At 40.6% G+C, this 16583-nt stretch overlaps 1 protein-coding gene and 1 long non-coding RNA gene across 25 annotated transcripts in view, besides 1 other annotated feature; one reads left to right on the top strand and one right to left on the bottom strand.

Moving 5' to 3' along the window:
* Positions 1–967, bottom strand: part of SLC12A2 (solute carrier family 12 member 2) — a 105912-nt gene extending 104945 nt beyond the window's left edge. For all 6 annotated transcript variants that reach the window (NR_046207.2, NM_001046.3, NM_001256461.2 and 3 more), the window contains exon 1: positions 23–967. Coding sequence is in view for 5 of the 6 variants with exons in the window: in NM_001046.3 (NP_001037.1) it covers positions 23–778 (756 nt within the window). In the remaining variant the exon portion in view is untranslated. The remainder of the gene's footprint in view (positions 1–22) is intronic.
* Positions 474–1303: a silencer, noted in NCBI's record as "silent region_16295". NCBI's record gives its function as "represses an Ori minimal core promoter by ATAC-STARR-seq in GM12878 lymphoblastoid cells {active_cell/tissue: GM12878}" and the evidence as "EXISTENCE:reporter gene assay evidence [ECO:0000049][PMID:35858748]".
* Positions 1558–16583, top strand: part of SLC12A2-DT (SLC12A2 divergent transcript) — a 142736-nt gene continuing 127710 nt past the window's right edge. For 6 of the 19 annotated variants that reach the window (NR_152804.1, NR_152803.1, NR_152798.1 and 3 more), the window contains exon 1: positions 1558–1998. This is a non-coding gene — a long non-coding RNA (SLC12A2 divergent transcript). Of the gene's footprint in view, positions 1999–2538; positions 2761–7639; positions 7787–16583 lie in introns of all 19 variants that reach the window. The other 13 variants (NR_152813.1, NR_152802.1, NR_015360.2 and 10 more) reach the window with 8 other exon arrangements.

The following is a 16583-nucleotide window of genomic DNA, read 5'->3' as shown; positions in this document are numbered from 1 at the left end:
AGGGAGGGCTGGGCGAGCTCACCTTTTCCAGCTCGTCGTGGAGCTCCGCCAGGCTAGGCCGGAGCAGCTTCTCGCCCAGCTGCGCGGCTGTGTGCCGGTAGTGATCGATCCTGGGCACAGCGTCCATGGTGTTGTGGCCGAAGGTGCGCAGGTAGTAGGTGTTGGTGTGGGTATCATAATAGTAGTGCTGGTGGTGCCCACTGCCGCCGCCGCCGCCGGAGTGCAGGCTGCTGCCCTCGCTCAGCACCGTGTCCCCGCCGTTCTGGAAGCTCACGTTGGGCCCGTCGACTCCGACCCCGGCAGCATCTGACAGGCTGTCTTCAGCCGACGAGGAGGCAGCTGGGTCCACGAAGTTCACGCGGAAGCGGCCCTTGGCTTCCTCGCTGCCTTTAGCCGGCTCGCTCTCGCCGCTGGCTTCCCCGTCCGCGGGGGTCTGCTTGGCCCCCGCCCCAGCACCAGCCGCCGCCGCTGCCGCCGCCGCCGCCGCCGCCGCAGCAGCGGCCCGCCCGGCGTTCTCGGAAACCAGGTCCACCTGGAAACGGCTCTGGCTCGGGGTGGGCCCCAAGGGTCTGCCCAGCCCGTCCCCGGCCGCCGCGGGGCCCTCATCGCGGACCCCGCCGCCGTCCCGGCTCGCGGGCGCAGCATCCTCCGGCACCGAGGGCACAGCCGTGCCGGGCAGTTCCACCCTGGCTGCGGCCAGCGCAGCGGCTGACGGCGTCTCCCCGACCCCGGCCAGTCCCGGGGCGCCGGAGGAGGGCGCCGTGGGCCGCGGCTCCATAGCTGCCCGACCCCCGGCGGAACTGCAGAGCCCGGCGGACGTCTCCGGCAGCACGCCCTCCACACCCCTGGCCGGCGGTGGCCACAGCCGCAAGACCAGGTGAGAGAGTCTTTCTCCCCGCCGCCTGCGGGCCGCCGCTAGCCTGGACGGCCACAGAGGCCACCGGCAGCCGAGCGAGCGCGCGAGTGTGGCGGGCGCGGGGCGGGCCCCGCTGTTTAAAGCCTCGGCGGGGCTGCGGCGGCGGCGGCTCCGGCAGCAGCACGCGGGAGGCGGGGCCGGAGGCTCCTCCGCCCCTCAGCCCGCCCACCCGCGGTCCCGCAGCGGCGCGCGGCTGACGCTCCCTCAGCGATCCGGCCCTCCGCGGCTCCTGCGCGACCCCACGCAAAAGCGCCCCGTGCGAAGAGCGCGGCCAGCCAGTCCGCAAAGGGCCTCGGGCAGTGCGGGCAGCACGAACGGCGCGATCGGGGAGCAGGCGCGGCTACGCTCCGCCTCAGTGATGTCGCCGGGAGGATCTCCGCGCGGCTACCTCCTCTTCCGCCGCCTTCCTCCCACGCCTTCACCTCCCTCCCCCGCCGCGCTCTGCGGCGAAAAGGAGCGGGCTCCCAGGCCACCTCCCCTCTCTCCACCCAGGGGCCGCGCGTCAGTGGACCTGCAGCCCAGGCAACGGGGCTGCGGACGGCGCGCGTGCCCTGCCTCGCCTCACGCCGGTAGCTGATGCTCCCGCGGCAGCTGCCACCCCAGCGCCCCAGCCACGGCTTCAGAGGCTCTCGCACGCTGGCTTTTTTTTTTTCCCCCCGCTTTGGTGAACTCGCAGTACTTGGGCTGAGCCCGAAATCTCGCGAGATGCTGCAGGCGTCAGTGCGGCTTCCCACTAGGCGCGTGGTACCCGAGGCCGGGCCGGAGCCGCAGGCCAGCCGCGATTCCTTCGGGCGATGCTGGGGGCTTTCCGGTCGGGGCCGCAGCCGCTTCCGGAGCCGCGGGCGAGGTGCGTTCCCCAGCCTGGTTTGCTCTGGGCTCTGACCCGCCGCCGCGAATCTCCGCTCGTAACTCCGGGCCTGAACCTGGAGGAGGGAGGATTTCCTCTGTGCAGCTTTCGAGCGGTAGACTCACCCTGCCAGGCAGACCTAGATTGGCATAACCAGAGATCAGTTCCAGTTGTGATGCAGTGGGTGTCTACACACTTCTGATGACACCTTTATTTTAAAAGCTGATGTTCCAAGGTGAGAAGGGAGCTTCTTTGAGACGTCATGTTGTTTCAAGACGAGTTTTAATTTAAGGCATTTCCAAAAGTGATATGCAGCTCATCTCTCAGAATACAATGCCGGCAATAACTACCCGTGGAGTCCTTACCAGGAGGTTTCTGCGTGATTTGGGTTGTGCAGAATTCCTCTGCTTATATAGAAACAGAAAGGTACTCCTCTGCAGGTCTAGTTTCTCTTCGGTAAAATGTAAGGGAATATAACTGTGTTCCCACTTTCTTAGCAGCAGAAATTTTTAAACCTATAGATTATGCCCAAAGTCCTAAGTAAAATCAATGAATGGCGTCCTCCAATTACTTGGTTTTTATTTATGTACTTTTTTTTTTTTTTTTTGAGACGGAGTCTCGCTCTGTCGCCCAAGCTGTAGTGCAGGGGTGCGATCTTGGCTCACTGCAAACTCCGCCTCCTGGGTTCACGCCATTCTCCTCCTGCCTCAGCCTCCTGAGTAGTTGGGACTACAGGCGCCCGCCATCACGCCCTGCTAATTTTTTGTATTTTTAGTAGAGTCGGGGTTTCACCGTGTTAGCCAGGATGGTCTCGATCTCCTGACCTCGTGATCCGCCCACCTCCGCCTCTCCAAGTGCTGGGATTACAGGCATGAGCCACCGCGCCCGGCCCTTGTATTTTTAAACTTTGACTTTATGGAGACGAACACCATCGTTTGCTGAACACTTGAAACATGATGAAAGAGCCACAGAGTTGGCAGAACTGTTTGAAAATGCTGTAAGTAAAAGCTGCAACCAGGCAATTTTCAAAAAATTGTCATAAACATGATCTTACTTGAACTTGACAACTTTTCAGGCTATTTTATTATCTCTATTTTTAAAGACGGTGAGAGGGGAAAACAGCTGTTGCATCAGGATTTTTAAAGCTCCTTTTGAGCTTTAGTAATAACCAGAGGAGGCCAGAAAAATGAGGTGGTCCTTTAAGCAGTGCAGTTTTCTACTAGGGAATTGCTGCATTAGTAGTTGATCCGTGCAGTACCTTTCAGCTCCACAACGAATTCTGCCACTATTGGAATTCAACATTCATTTAGTTGAATAAATACTGAACAGGTACTATGAGCTACTCTGTATTTACGGGATATAGCAGTGAGCAAAACGGACAATCCCATCTCTCATGGAGTTCTTTCTAGTGAGAAAGAGAAACAATAGACAAGATAAATAGGTAAAATACATAGCATCCAAGCAGTGAGTACTAAGGAAAGGGAAATGGGATATTTGTGTGAAATGAGGATCATAAAATTTTCCATAGGATGGCCTCACTGAGAAGGTGATATTTGAGTAAGGAAGTGAGTGATATGAGTTCTTGGGAAAAAAAGTGTCTGAAGCAGAGGGAAACCAAAGACCCAAAGGCAGGAGCATGCTTAGCATGCTCACGGAATTGCATGTAAGCCAGTTTGGCTGGAACTTGCTTAAGAGATGTGAAGAATCAAAGGCAATTACATCAGAGAGCTTAGGATATGGGATGTAGTAGATCAGAATGTTTAGGACCTTTTTTGGCTGTTAGACATACTTGACTTTTTTAGTAGAATAGTGTGTTAGTCAGCTCAGGCTGCCATAACAAAATACATAGATTGGGTGGCTCAAACAGTAGAAATATATTTTCTCACAGTTCTGCCTGCTGGAAGTCTGAGATCAGAATGCCAGCATGATCATGTTCGGGTTTTCTTTTTGGCTTGCAGACAGTACCTTCTCAATGTCTCCTCAGATGATAAAGAGAGCGTTGTCTCTTTTCTTATAAGGGCACCAGTTCTGTGGAATCAGGGCTTTACCCTGATCACCTCATTTAACCTTAATTATCTCCTTAAAAGGACTGTCTCCAATACAGTCACATAGGAGTGAGGAGAGGATTCGGGCTTCAACATATTAATTTAGCAGGGTACACAACAGTCCTTGGCAGATGGCAGGTTATTGGAAGGTTTCAGTGGAGGAATGACATCTGCCATTTTTAAAGGATTCATCTAGCTGTCTTGTAGGTAGGCAAGGGATAAATGGTTGGGTCAAAGAAGCAAGGAGATGTGTTAAGAGGTATTACAGCAATCCAGGAAGTGATGATAGCGCTTTGACCACAGTGGGTATCAGTGGAAATGGGGAAAAGTAGTTGAATTCTGGGGAAACAATAGAATTTGCTGATGGATGTGAAGTGTGAGAGTCCAAGGGTTTTGACCTCAGCAACTGGAAGAATAGTATTGCTATTTTCTGAGATGGCAAAGGAGGTTAAAGGAACAGGTTTGGGTTGGATGAATATCAGGAGCTTAGTCTGAGATGTCTGTTGGAAGAAACACACAAATGTGTATTAATAATAAATAGTAGTCACTCATATAAATTTGTAACTGCAAACAGAAGTTCTAGGGGATAGGAACGTAGTATAAGGAAAATGCAAAATAGGCCAGACTTAGTCAAGACAGAAGTGACTTTTTAGCAAAGGTCTAAAGGAAAATTAGGACCAAATTGTCACTAGAGGGTTTCCAACAAGGGAAATATTGTGGACAAATGCCCTCATGGAGTGAGCAGGGACTATCAAAGAAGCAAGAAGCTTGAAATCAGTTTGGTTAAAGCATAGGGAAGGATTGGGGGCAAAAGTAGTAAGAGATGTGTCTGTATTCTAAAAGCCCTATAAAAGCATTAATGGGTTTCTGGATAGATTGAGGGGCACATAATCAGATTTGTGCTTATTAAAACTCTCTAGGCCTGGCAAGGTGGCTCACACCTGTAATCCCAGCACTTGGGAGGCCAAGGCGGGTATATGGCTTGAGCTCAGGAATTCGAGACCAGCCTGGACAACAATAATGAAACCCCATCTCTACCAAAAAAACCCACAAAAATTCAAAAATTAGTGGGGCGTGGTGGCACGCACCTGTATTCCCAGCTCCCTGGGAGGCTGAGGTGGGAGGATCACTTGAGGTGGGGGTTGTAGTGAGCTATGATTGTGCCACAGCACCCAGCCTGGGCGACAGAGTGAGACACTGTCTCAAAAAATAAATAAATAAAAATAAAACTAGTTATATTATGAGCAGAAGAGTGGAGAAGAGGAAGAATAAGCATGGAAAGTCAGGACACAATTTCACTAATCTAGCTGTGAGTTGATAGTAGTAATAGTAGTTAGCCTTTATAGAGAATTTAGGTCCTGGATACTGTGCCAAAATCTATACATTCATAATCTTACTGAATTCTCGCAACACTATGAAGAAAATCATAAGATTACATCCATTTTACAGATGAAAAACTTGGTTAAGGAAAAAATAAGTAATTCCAACATTAATGAGCACATAAAAGACCTACAAAGGTCAGGAGGTGAGAAGAAAATCAGATGAAGGCATTTGAAAACAGGATCAGCTGTGTTAAATTGGGCCAAGAGGCAGAGAAAAATGAGTTGAATATATATTGACTTTAGTAACATGTATTAGCCAACAAAATGAGAGAGCAATGCAGTGAGGGGAGGGCCACAAACATTCCAGGAAATATCAAAGTGTATTATGTGAAACTTATGAAAAATTTATCAGGAGAGATCTCCTTTACTTAATTGTTGGCAAATATTTCATTGTCAGACTTACCAGGTGTCAGTTTAGAGACTAACCTTGAGAACAGACTTGCTATCAGTGCCGTGGTGGGAACCTGACTGATTTTGCTGTATTTCCTTTTTGCCACAAGGCCAGCCTTTGACATTGTGTGTGTCTGAGTACTTACTAATATTTATTTCATGTAGTTGGAATTTTAGGATTAGAAGTGACTTGCGTAGTTGTTTTCCAAACTTCTCAATTCACAAATGCCAAAGTATCCTAAAAGAAGATATAAATTATGTTAGACCTACAACTTCTCATATCTGCAGCATCAGAGCATGTGAAGTGCAAAGCCATGTAGAACCTTTGAAATCAGCTCTCTTTTCCTTTTTTTTCTTACAGTGAGTTTTAGTTAGACATGCTGTGCTGACATTCTGCATGGTTGTGGCTTTGCTGTTTTATTAGATGGCATTCAGAGTACAAATTGAGTAAATGGTATTTCCCTTGAGAAATAATGTGATTATTCTGTTACAGAAAAAAGAAAAAAGTTACCCTAAAGAAGCTTTTTTATAGGCCTAGCACAGTAGCTCATGCCTATAATCCCAGCACTTTGGGAGGCCGAGGCAGGCGGATCAGATGAGGCCAGGAGTTCGAGACCAGCCTGGCCAACATGGGGAAACCCTGTCTCTACTAAAAATACAAAAATTAGTTGGGTGTAGTGGTGCATGTCTGTAATCCCAGCTACTAGGGAGGCTGAGGCATGAGAATTGCTTGAACCCGGGAGGCAGAGGCCTCATTGAGCCGAGACTGCGGCACTATGCTGTAGCCTGTGCGACAGAGTGAGACTCTGTATCCAAAAAAAAAAAAAAAAGAAGAAGCTTGTTTTTTTTTGTAAGAAACAAAGCTTGTTTATGTAAAAAAAAAAACAAAAAACTTGTTATGTAGTAAATGTTATAATTTTGCTTTCTTACCTAAGTCCCGGTCACCTTCTTCTTTAATTAAAAATATTATAAAGATTTTAGTCAGTCATAGAATTAAACATTAATTGAAATTGTACTGTGCTTTTCCTCTAGACAATATATAAATTCATATTTGTAAATTATGTCTTTCAAAAGAGACAGCTCAAGTTTTTTGCTTACCCAGGTAGTAAATTCATGACAAATGCATTTAAAAAACAGTCTTTCTTTCTTATCCCTACTTTTGTCTACACATGTTTGTTGTAAAGCTATTCAAAGAAATCTTTTCCAATTTAAAATCTGTATTAGAAAAGTTATTTGTGATTACTTTTGTACTTCTAACTATACAGGCTGTGGATATTTGCAAACTTCAAAGTTCAAAATTGTTATCAAATATTAATATTTGAAGGAATTACTTGTATATAATAGCTTAGTGATTACACACATGGACTCCAGCACCAGACTGCCTGGATTTGAATCTCAGCTCCATCAGCTCCGCTATTTGTTGTGTGATCTTGGCTTAGTGTGACCTCTGTGCCTCAGTTTCCTAATCTATAAAATGGGGTATAACAATGGTAGCTTTTTTTTTTTTTAGACAGAGTCTCGCTCTGTCACCCAGTCTGGAGTGCAGTGGTAAGATCACAGCTCACTGCAGCCTTGATCTCCCAGGCTCAAGTGATCCTCCCACCTCAGCCTCCTGAGTAGCTGGGACCACAGGTGCAGGCCACCATCCCCGGCTAATTTTTTTGTTTTTTGTAGAAACAGGGTATGGCCATGTTGCCTAAGCTGGTCTTGAACTCCTGGACTTAAGCAGTCTGCTTTCCAAAGTGCTAGGATTACAGGCATGAGCCACCACACCCTCATACTTGTGGAGCTATGAGGATTACATAAAGTACTATTCGTAAAATACTTAGAATAGTGCCTGATAATATGGTAAGGCCTAATGTATGTAAACAGTAAATAAATGCTTAAAACTTAATATTTTATTCAAAAAACAAACAGGGCTAAGATACAACCTTTAGGTCATATCTTTTCTTGCAAGTATGTCCTGTTTTATTTTTTACTTTGCTTTTTGTTTTGATTTTGAGAGGTATTTAGGTAATTTTTTGAGTAGCATGTAAGCTATTTTTTTTTTCTGTTACAGATTTTTAGGGCAGTTTTTAGTGTCATTATGTTGCTGCTACATATTTGGAAGATGGAACAAGCCCAGACAAAGGAGGATTCTTTTTTACTCATCTTAAATCCATTTTATTTTCCTTCATCTGAGCCCCTTAAAACTAATGTGTTACTGGTAAGTTGGTGTGTGCCTGTAGTCCCAGCTACTAGGGAGGCTAAGCCAGGAGTATCGCTTCAGCCCCAGAGTTCAAGACCAGCCTGGACAACATAGCAAGACTCCCGTCTTAGAAAAAAATCTGTACAGATATGTTATAGGAACATTTTGTCTGCATTCACTACATTGCACTATACTTTAAAAAAAAAGAGATTTAAAATACAAATACTGACACTTAACACACATGTACTCATATCTTAATAATTAGTTTAATTGCTTCCCCTTTATGGAGTCAAATAATATAATGCGTTTCCTAACTAACTGTATACTTATATTTTCCTCAATGTTAATGAAAAATCTCTAATATTTTTATCCTCTTATATTTCTTAATTATTAATCTATTTTCACTTTTAAAAAGCCATAAAAATAAGATATGTTTTTATAATTATTCTAGATGCCTGAAATTTTGTAAAAATCATAAATATGGAAAAGATCTTAAAGGGTTATGTAATAAGCCCCTACTTTGCACAATATTCTACCTCTGACACTTTTAAGAAAATAATTTCTAGTAACACATCCTAGTGGTTACAAGTCCTTATGCCATAGCATTGGACATTAATAATCACTCAAATACTTATTGAGGAATAAGATGTTCTTCCTAATGACTAAATTAAATTATTCTCATTATAATTCAATTCTTTGGCTTCTTGTCCCATTCTTCAGAGGTTATGGTAACCCGTAAAAGTGTAAGGTTATTTTCAGTTTTATTTTCTAAATGATTTCCTCTTGCATGTCATTATAGGACCAAATTTCTAAGTATGTAATTATTTTTATTACTGTCCTCTGGGCCCTTTCCAAGTAATTTAATCTTCCTTTAAATGTGGGCCAAAACTATTAGGTTCAATATGGCAGTTTTTAAAAACATGAGTATGAAGGTAAAGGCAGGTTATTACGGTTCATGTAATTGTTTTCATTTAAAACTGAAGTACCAGCTGACTTTGAATATGGCCCTGAGTATCAGCTCTTCTGATTAGTCAAGAAATGTTTCTTGTTTTTTAAGAGATTTGAACTAAAATTCCACCTCAATTGTAACCAATTTTTTTTTTTTTTTTTTTTTTTTTTGAGACTGAGTTTCTCTCTGTTGTCCAGGCTGGAGTGCAGTGGCATGATCTCGGCTCACTGCAACCTCTGCCTCCCGGGTTCAAGTGATTCTCCTGCCTCAATCTCCCAAGTAGCTGGGATTACAGGTGCTCACGAACAGGCCTGGTTAATTTTTGTATTTTTAGTAGAGATGGAGTTTTACCATGTTGGCCAGGCTGGTCTCGAACTCCTGACTTCAAGTGATCTGCCGGCCTTGACCTCCCAAAGTGCTGGGATTACAGGCTGAGACACCCACCATGCCTGGTTGAATTGTAACCAATTTCTAGAGACATAAAATTCTTAATATATATTATATAATATAGATAGATATTATTGATATATATTCCATATTATATAATTCTTGATATAATATATAATTCTTGATATATAATAGGATATATATCAAGAATTTAATATCTATAAGTCAAGTAGATATTTATTATTTATAACATCTTTCTATTTATAAAGTAATAATTAATATAGAAGTCATAGGAAAAAAGCAAAAGGAAGTAACACTTATAATGCCATCACCCTGAAATAACATTTTCCTGTTTATGGTATTACAAAATGATTTATGGTATGTTTTATAGTTTTTAAAACCAGTAATGTGAACATTTCTCTATATATGAAAATGGATATCTTGCAATTGCATGATTTCTAATGGCTTCATAATATTGCATCATGTAGATTTATCATAATTTACTGACTCTATCACCTATTTTTGAACCCTGTTTATTTCATTTTTAAATAAGAGCAAGCAGTGCTACATTGGATGTCTTTGTGCATATATCTTTCTTAATTGAGTATTTCCTTAGGATAAATTCTTAGAAGTGAAATAGCAGGGTATGTATATTTTTAAAACTTTTGGCATACATATCAAAATTGATTTTCAGAAAGGTTATTATCAATTTATCCTTCTGTCAACATTGTGTTTGAATTTCTGCCTTCCACCACCCTTATAAAGTCAGAGTAAAATCTTTCTTAATCTTTGTCAATCTGATTAGCAAAAAAAAAAAACAACAAAAGTTTAATTTGCAGATCATTGACTTCTAGTGAGGTTATAGTTTTTAAAGTTTCTTAATCATTTATATATTTTTATTTCTGAATTGCCCATTGATATCTATAGAAGACCATTACTGTATCCTAGAAGTGGGGTTTCCATTCTCTCTTGTTGTGGTAATAGCATACACATTTTTCTTGTTGTTTTTGTTTGGGTTTTGTTTTGTTTCTTTGGTGAGGTGGGGGTAATTCTTTTACTGGAATTACCTCTCTGTGTGTAGTTTTGGAAGGACATAATAGAGGAGCTTGCCTGCCCCAGCCAAATTGTGAGCATATGACCAAATGTGCCAATCTGGCTCTCATAAGTGTTTTGAATTTTGGGTGGTGTGATGCAAAGTCAGAAAAGTAAGTCCAGTTGTGGGACTCTTAGTTGCTTATATCTCACTTCCTCCCTCCCTGGGCAACTGCCTTGCCTGAGGGCAACCCAAGGCCACTGACTAGCTGATGGTCAATATAAAGGGCATTGACTGTATTTGGGACAATCTAAAGAGCCACTACCTCAAAGAACACCCTGTAGGATGGACTGAGGCTTCAGCTGCATCCTCACTGTGAGTCTGCTGCTTCCTCTGCCCAATCCTGCCTTCCTCATTTCCTTATAGTTGTGTCTCCTGAGTATACTCTCAATCAAACTTCCTCTATGCCATTTCTCTATGCTTTCTCTATGCCATCTCTATGCCACCTCAGTCTGTTTCTAAGGAACTGTCCATTCCAGTGGCAGTACTCAGGGAAGACAGTATGGTAGTTCCTGCCAGCAGCACCCTCTGGAACTACTTCCGTTGTCCTTTCTGCATCTGTTTCTTCTTTCATTTAACTTTCCCATACTCTTACAGTAATTCACTTCATCTAAGTTAACCAGAGTCTTGGTTTCTGTGGCTTGCAACCAAAAATCTATTAATACAATGTTCTTTGTCATTTTACCCATTTTAAGAGCTTTTTCATGTATTATGGACAAAAACCCTAAACTAAATTGGTTTTCTCCAGTTAGTTGCATTGCAATTTTGTTTATCATAGTGTTGACATTCAACTATTTAGAAAATTTATTACTGTAAGTATCTTGGTCTTTGTGTGTGTGTGATTTTTACTTTGATGTAATGCAGGAGTCCCCAACCCCTGGGCCACAGAATGGTACCATTAGGAACCAGGCTGCACAGCGGGAGATGAGCAGTGGGCAAGCAAGAGAAGCTTCATCTGTATTTGCAGCCACTCCCCATCACTCGCATTACTGCCTGAGCTCCATCTCCTGTCAGATCAGCAGTGGCATTAGATTCTTATAGGAGCATGAACCCTATTGTGAACTGTGCCTGTGAAGCATCTAGGTTGCGTGCTCCTTATGAGAATCTAATGCCTGATGATCTGTCACTGTCTCCCAACACCCCCAGCTGGGACCATCTAGTTGCAGAAAAACAAGTTCAGGGCTCCCACTGATTCTATGTTGTGGTGAGTTGTATAATTATTTCACTATATATTACAATGTAGTAATAATAGAAATAAAGTGCACAATAAATGTAGTGTTCTTGTATCATCCCAAAGTCATCCACCTTCACCACCCCAATCCATGGAAGAAAATGGTCCCTGGTGCCAAAAAGGTTGGGGACTGCTGATGTAATGCCTGGAGAGACCTTTAATGTCACATGAGCATATACATAAAAATTCATGTGTACATATTTTTAAGATTTTGTTTTTATCCCCTAATTCTTATGACAAAGATTTTTGCCTTGACTAATGACATTGATTGAACTATTTCCTACAAATAATTTAACTGAATATTTAGACTTTTGTGTTAAAATTTTCTATAACAATATCTTCAAATTTCAGTGCTGAAATAACAGACATTTCTGTTCTACTCAGACAGCAATCTAGAAATGACCTGTCTGAAGCTGGCCAGGCAGCTCTGTCCTTCTCATCAGGAGGCTTCTTCATCTGAATTAAAGATGGGAGCCTTTATTTGTTGCTATTATCTCGTCAGTGAGAAGGAAAACCTAGAGAGGAGAAAACAACTTCCTACCATACACACACACACCAAATCCATTGGTCCAAATTTAGGCAGTCGGCTGTACGTAGCAGATTGGGAAATAGTCTTTTACTGGAATCCCCCATGATGACAAGTTCTGCCCATTGGTAGAAACCTGTGTTTTCCTGTGTTATAAAGGGTTATAAAACATTTTTAATACTAGTATTAAAATGGTATTATGTTGAACATGTAACTGAAAATGTTCCTACAAATATTAAGTGAAAATTAACACATGGCTAAGATTTAAAATAAATGTTCCCCTTACAAAATGGTTTGTGTGTGCGTGTGAACCTGTGTGTGCATGTATACTATAACAATTCAAAACTTCTCTTCACTCTCCTTCACCACTGCTACCATATATTTAAATGTGGAACATGAGTTAAGAAGATTTTGGTTTTGGCCAGGCATGGTGTATCAGTTCATTTTCACACTGCTGATAAAGATATACCTGAGACTGGGTAATTTATAAATAAAAAGAGGTTGAATGGACTCACAGTTCCACGTGGCTGGGGAGGCCTCACAATAATGGAAGAAGGCAAAAGCTATGTCTTACATGGTGGCAAACAAGAGAATAAGAGCCAAGTGAAAGGTGTTTCCACTTATAAACCCATCAGATCTCGTAAGACTTATTCACTAACGGGAACAGTACAGGGGAAACTGCCCCCATGATTCAATTATCTTCCACCGTGTCCCTCCCATAACATGGGGGAGTTATGGGAGCTACAATTCAAGATGAGATTTGTCAAACCTTATCACTTGGTGTCTCACGCCTGTAATCGTAGCACTTTGGGAGGCTGAGGTGGCAGGATCTCTTGAGCTCAGGCGTTCGAGACCAGCCTGCGCAACAGGGTGAAAACCCATCTCTGCAAAAAATACAAAAATTAGCCGTGCATGGTGGCACACGCCTGTTGTCTCAGCTATTTGGGAGGCTGAGGTGGGAGAATTCATTGAGCCCAGGAGGCAGAGATTTTGAGATTTTAGTGAGCCAAGATCATGCCACTGCCCTCCAGCCTGGGTGACAGAGTGAGACCCCATCTCAGAAAAAAAAAAGGCTGGGTGTGGTGGCTCACGCCTATAATTCCAGCACTTTGGGAGGCCGAGGCAGGCGAATCACGAGGTCAAGAGATCAAGACCATCCTGGCAAACATGGTGAAATCCCGTCTTTACTAAAAATACAAAAATTAGCCGCGTGTGGTGGCACACGCCTGTAATCCCAGCTACTCGGGAGGCTGAGGCAGGAGAATTGCTTGAACCCAGGACACGGAGGTTGCAGTGAGCCGAGATCATGCCACTGCACTCCAGCCTGGCAACAGAGTGAGACTCCATCTCCAAGAAAAAAAAAAGAAAAAGAAAAAAAGATTGTTTTGTTAAGTAGTGGTTTTTAGCCTCTTGACATGCTTCTTACACTTTTTTTTTTTTCATCTCTTAGAGGTTTCTTTCTGTGAGGATAGGTTAATATGAATAATGATGATAGGAAGGATATATTAGTCTGATTGTTTAAGAGCATTTGCAATTTATGAAATATATCAGGAAATGTAATGTTCTTGAAAAGGAATGGCTAAATCTAATTTAGGAATGAATATTAAAGGTTTAATAATGAAGAAGTAATTAGAAGTTCCATCTTCTAATCTAAATATAGAATCTCTTCTCTGTACTGGTACTAATTTTTATTATGATGGTTTGGACACAGTTCCATATTCAGCCTCTTTGTACTTTATTTTTGAATTATAAATGCCCAAACCTTAAAATTTGTTCTGCAAGCCTAAGGATGATTCTTTGTATAGATATACCATTGTATAGATATACCATAATTAATATAGCCATTCTAATGTTAATTACTATTTTAGTAGTTTTGAGGTTAGCTTTTGTTTTTTGCTATTATAAACACTCTGCTGTGAACATTTGTATACACATACCATGGTGAATATATGAGTAGATTTCTCTCTAGGGTGTATATTTAGTACGGTATTGCTGGTTCATGGAGTATGTATAGCTTCACCTTCAATAGATAAAGACACACTGTTTCCCCAAGTGGTTGAACCAAGAATGGTATTATTTTAAGATCCTTTACTATAACTTCAAGTATTTGCTTAAAGTTTCTGGAGAAAGGGAAAAAAATGAGTTATACTATGGTATTGGATTTTATTATGAAATGAATTTAAAAATAACATCTAAAAAGAATGGAAACCCCTTTTTTTGCAGTCATTGTTTTGAAAAGGTATCTCAATGTGGATGAGATGAATTCTATACCATATATATTGAATGACTGGGCCTGTGAACAATTATCTGTGTAGTTTCTTTTCTCTAAAATATTATTTAATAGTACTACAATAACTATTATTTAAAATATGTTATATATGTACAAATTTTTTACATATATGTGGCAAAATAAAAGTTTAAATCAGGCATAAAGATATAAAATGAAAAATGAAGTCTACTAATTCCTCTCCCTAAAGATCTGTTTTAGTTGCCTCATTGTTTCGTTTCCTGAAAAAATTTATATATATTTCTTCATATAAGTAAACGGATCATAATGCACATGTTTTTTTATTCACTTTTTAACACGATGTATGATTCTTTCTGCTCAATGCTAAATAATATTGAATTGATTGGGTATATAATAATTTATTCAGGCAGACTGATGGAGATTTAGATTATTTTCCATTTTTTGTTATTACCAGTAATGGATCAGTGAGTACACTGGAAAATGAACCTTGCAATTTTTGAGAGTTTATTCATTTAAATTCCTAGCTATAAAATTACAGTTGAGACAGTACAAGCATTTTTAATTTTGATGGGTATGGCAAAATTGCCCTCTAAAAAGTTGTTTTAATTTACATTTCTATGAACTGCTACTTGCCAACATTGTGTGTTGTCAGAATATTTTATCTTTACTGCTCTCATAGTTGAAAAATATAACTTATTTTAGTTTGCATTTATTTAATTATGAGTGAAGTTTAGCATGATTTCATTTGCTTTTCTTTCTCTGTCAACTGCCTGTTAATATCTTTTGCCTATTTTTCTAAGTTGCATTTTTTTAGTGATTTGTAAAACTTGTAAATTAAATTAATGTTTTTGTCTATTATGTGTTGCAAATATTTTTCCCATTTTGTGGTTAATTTTTATATTTTGTTTATAACTTTTTGTACATAAATTTTAATCTTCTTTGTGACTTTCAGGTTATATATAATTTCCAAATTGCTTAGAAGCCCATTTCCTGTGTTGCCATTTGTCTTGTAAATGTATAATGATAGGTAAATTTAGTTCACATATAACTCAGCCCGTTTTCTTTCTTTTTTTCAAAGAAGTCTGTGAGAACACACCTAGGGAAAAAAAAATCACAGCAGACAGATGAATATGATAAATCTAATGAGTTTGGGTTGTCAAAAAAAATGTGTTTAACAATGTGTTTAACATTTAAATGATTCCTATTTTCTTTTTCCTTCAGGCGTCCTAAAAGTCAATAGGTGGGAAAGTTTTATTAGTAAAGAACATTATCTTACCAGACATAAAGTAATCCTTTTCTCCAAACTTCCTTCAAACTGCTGGTCCTCACCTCACCTAGAACACCCTATCAGAGACTAGCAGATGTTCCAGCATCTCTATAAAATTTATTTGGTTAAATGTTGGCATGTGATAAATGAAATGAAATGAAATTTATTTATGCGGACTTTTTCTATATTCTATATTTGCCTTGGAAAGCATATAATAGATATTTTAATAGAACAGTTAAAATATGATTTTATCAAAACACTTAAGGATGTCTAAATGAGTTAGTATATGAATATATAAAAATAGTCCACATGAACCTAGTCCATACTTAGTCCTCAGCTAAAATGACTTATAGTTTAACCCAAACTATAGTAAAGAGACTGAACAAATCTAAATAGAAACACTAAGTAGTGAAGAGCAACTAATCATGCAAGACTTTTTTAGTTTATATTCTTCCTTCCTATATGTTATAAAGTTATGTTAAAATTACTCAGTAAAATTATGTAGTGGAACATCAGATCTTAGCTGCAGCTTTTGTTCAGTAGGCTAGAAACTCAAAGCTACTAGACCATACTTAGTTGGACACAAGAGATTCCATATTGTCCCTAAAGGGATTCCATATTGTCCCCAAAGTAATCTTGCTTTCTCCAGAGCTCTCCAGCTCAGGCCTATATTAAAGCAACATCAGATCAGTTCTGACTGGATTTCATACTTTGAGTTTCTAGGGTTAAAAAGGTTTCATATTAGAGAATTCTGCTAACTGTCCCATATCAGACATTTAAAGATGATCTAGATTTTCTCAAAGATTCCCAATTTTACACCTTACTGTTTCTAATAGAAGCAGCTTGTTAAATATTTAACTAAATGTTACATAGTTTACATCCTTGTAAACATTTATCTTGTAAAAGAATTCTTTTTAAAAAAGTCATAATTTTTAGAAACACTGTTCCATTTATAATGCTGCGAGAAAACTACTTAGTGAGCTCTACTTCTAGATGTTAAATATCAACTATAATACTTGTTAAATCAATACATTTTAAAATGTCCTTAAAGTGTTTAAGTTTCTTCTGTAAAATGTGTACTATTAAATTCTGGGATTGATTATTTATTTATTTA

Source organism: Homo sapiens, chromosome 5 (genome assembly GCF_000001405.40).
Source record: "Homo sapiens chromosome 5, GRCh38.p14 Primary Assembly".
NCBI classification, from domain to species: Eukaryota; Metazoa; Chordata; class Mammalia; order Primates; family Hominidae; genus Homo; species Homo sapiens.
Note: the sequence above shows the minus strand (reverse complement) of the source record. Positions and strands in the feature narration are given on the sequence as shown.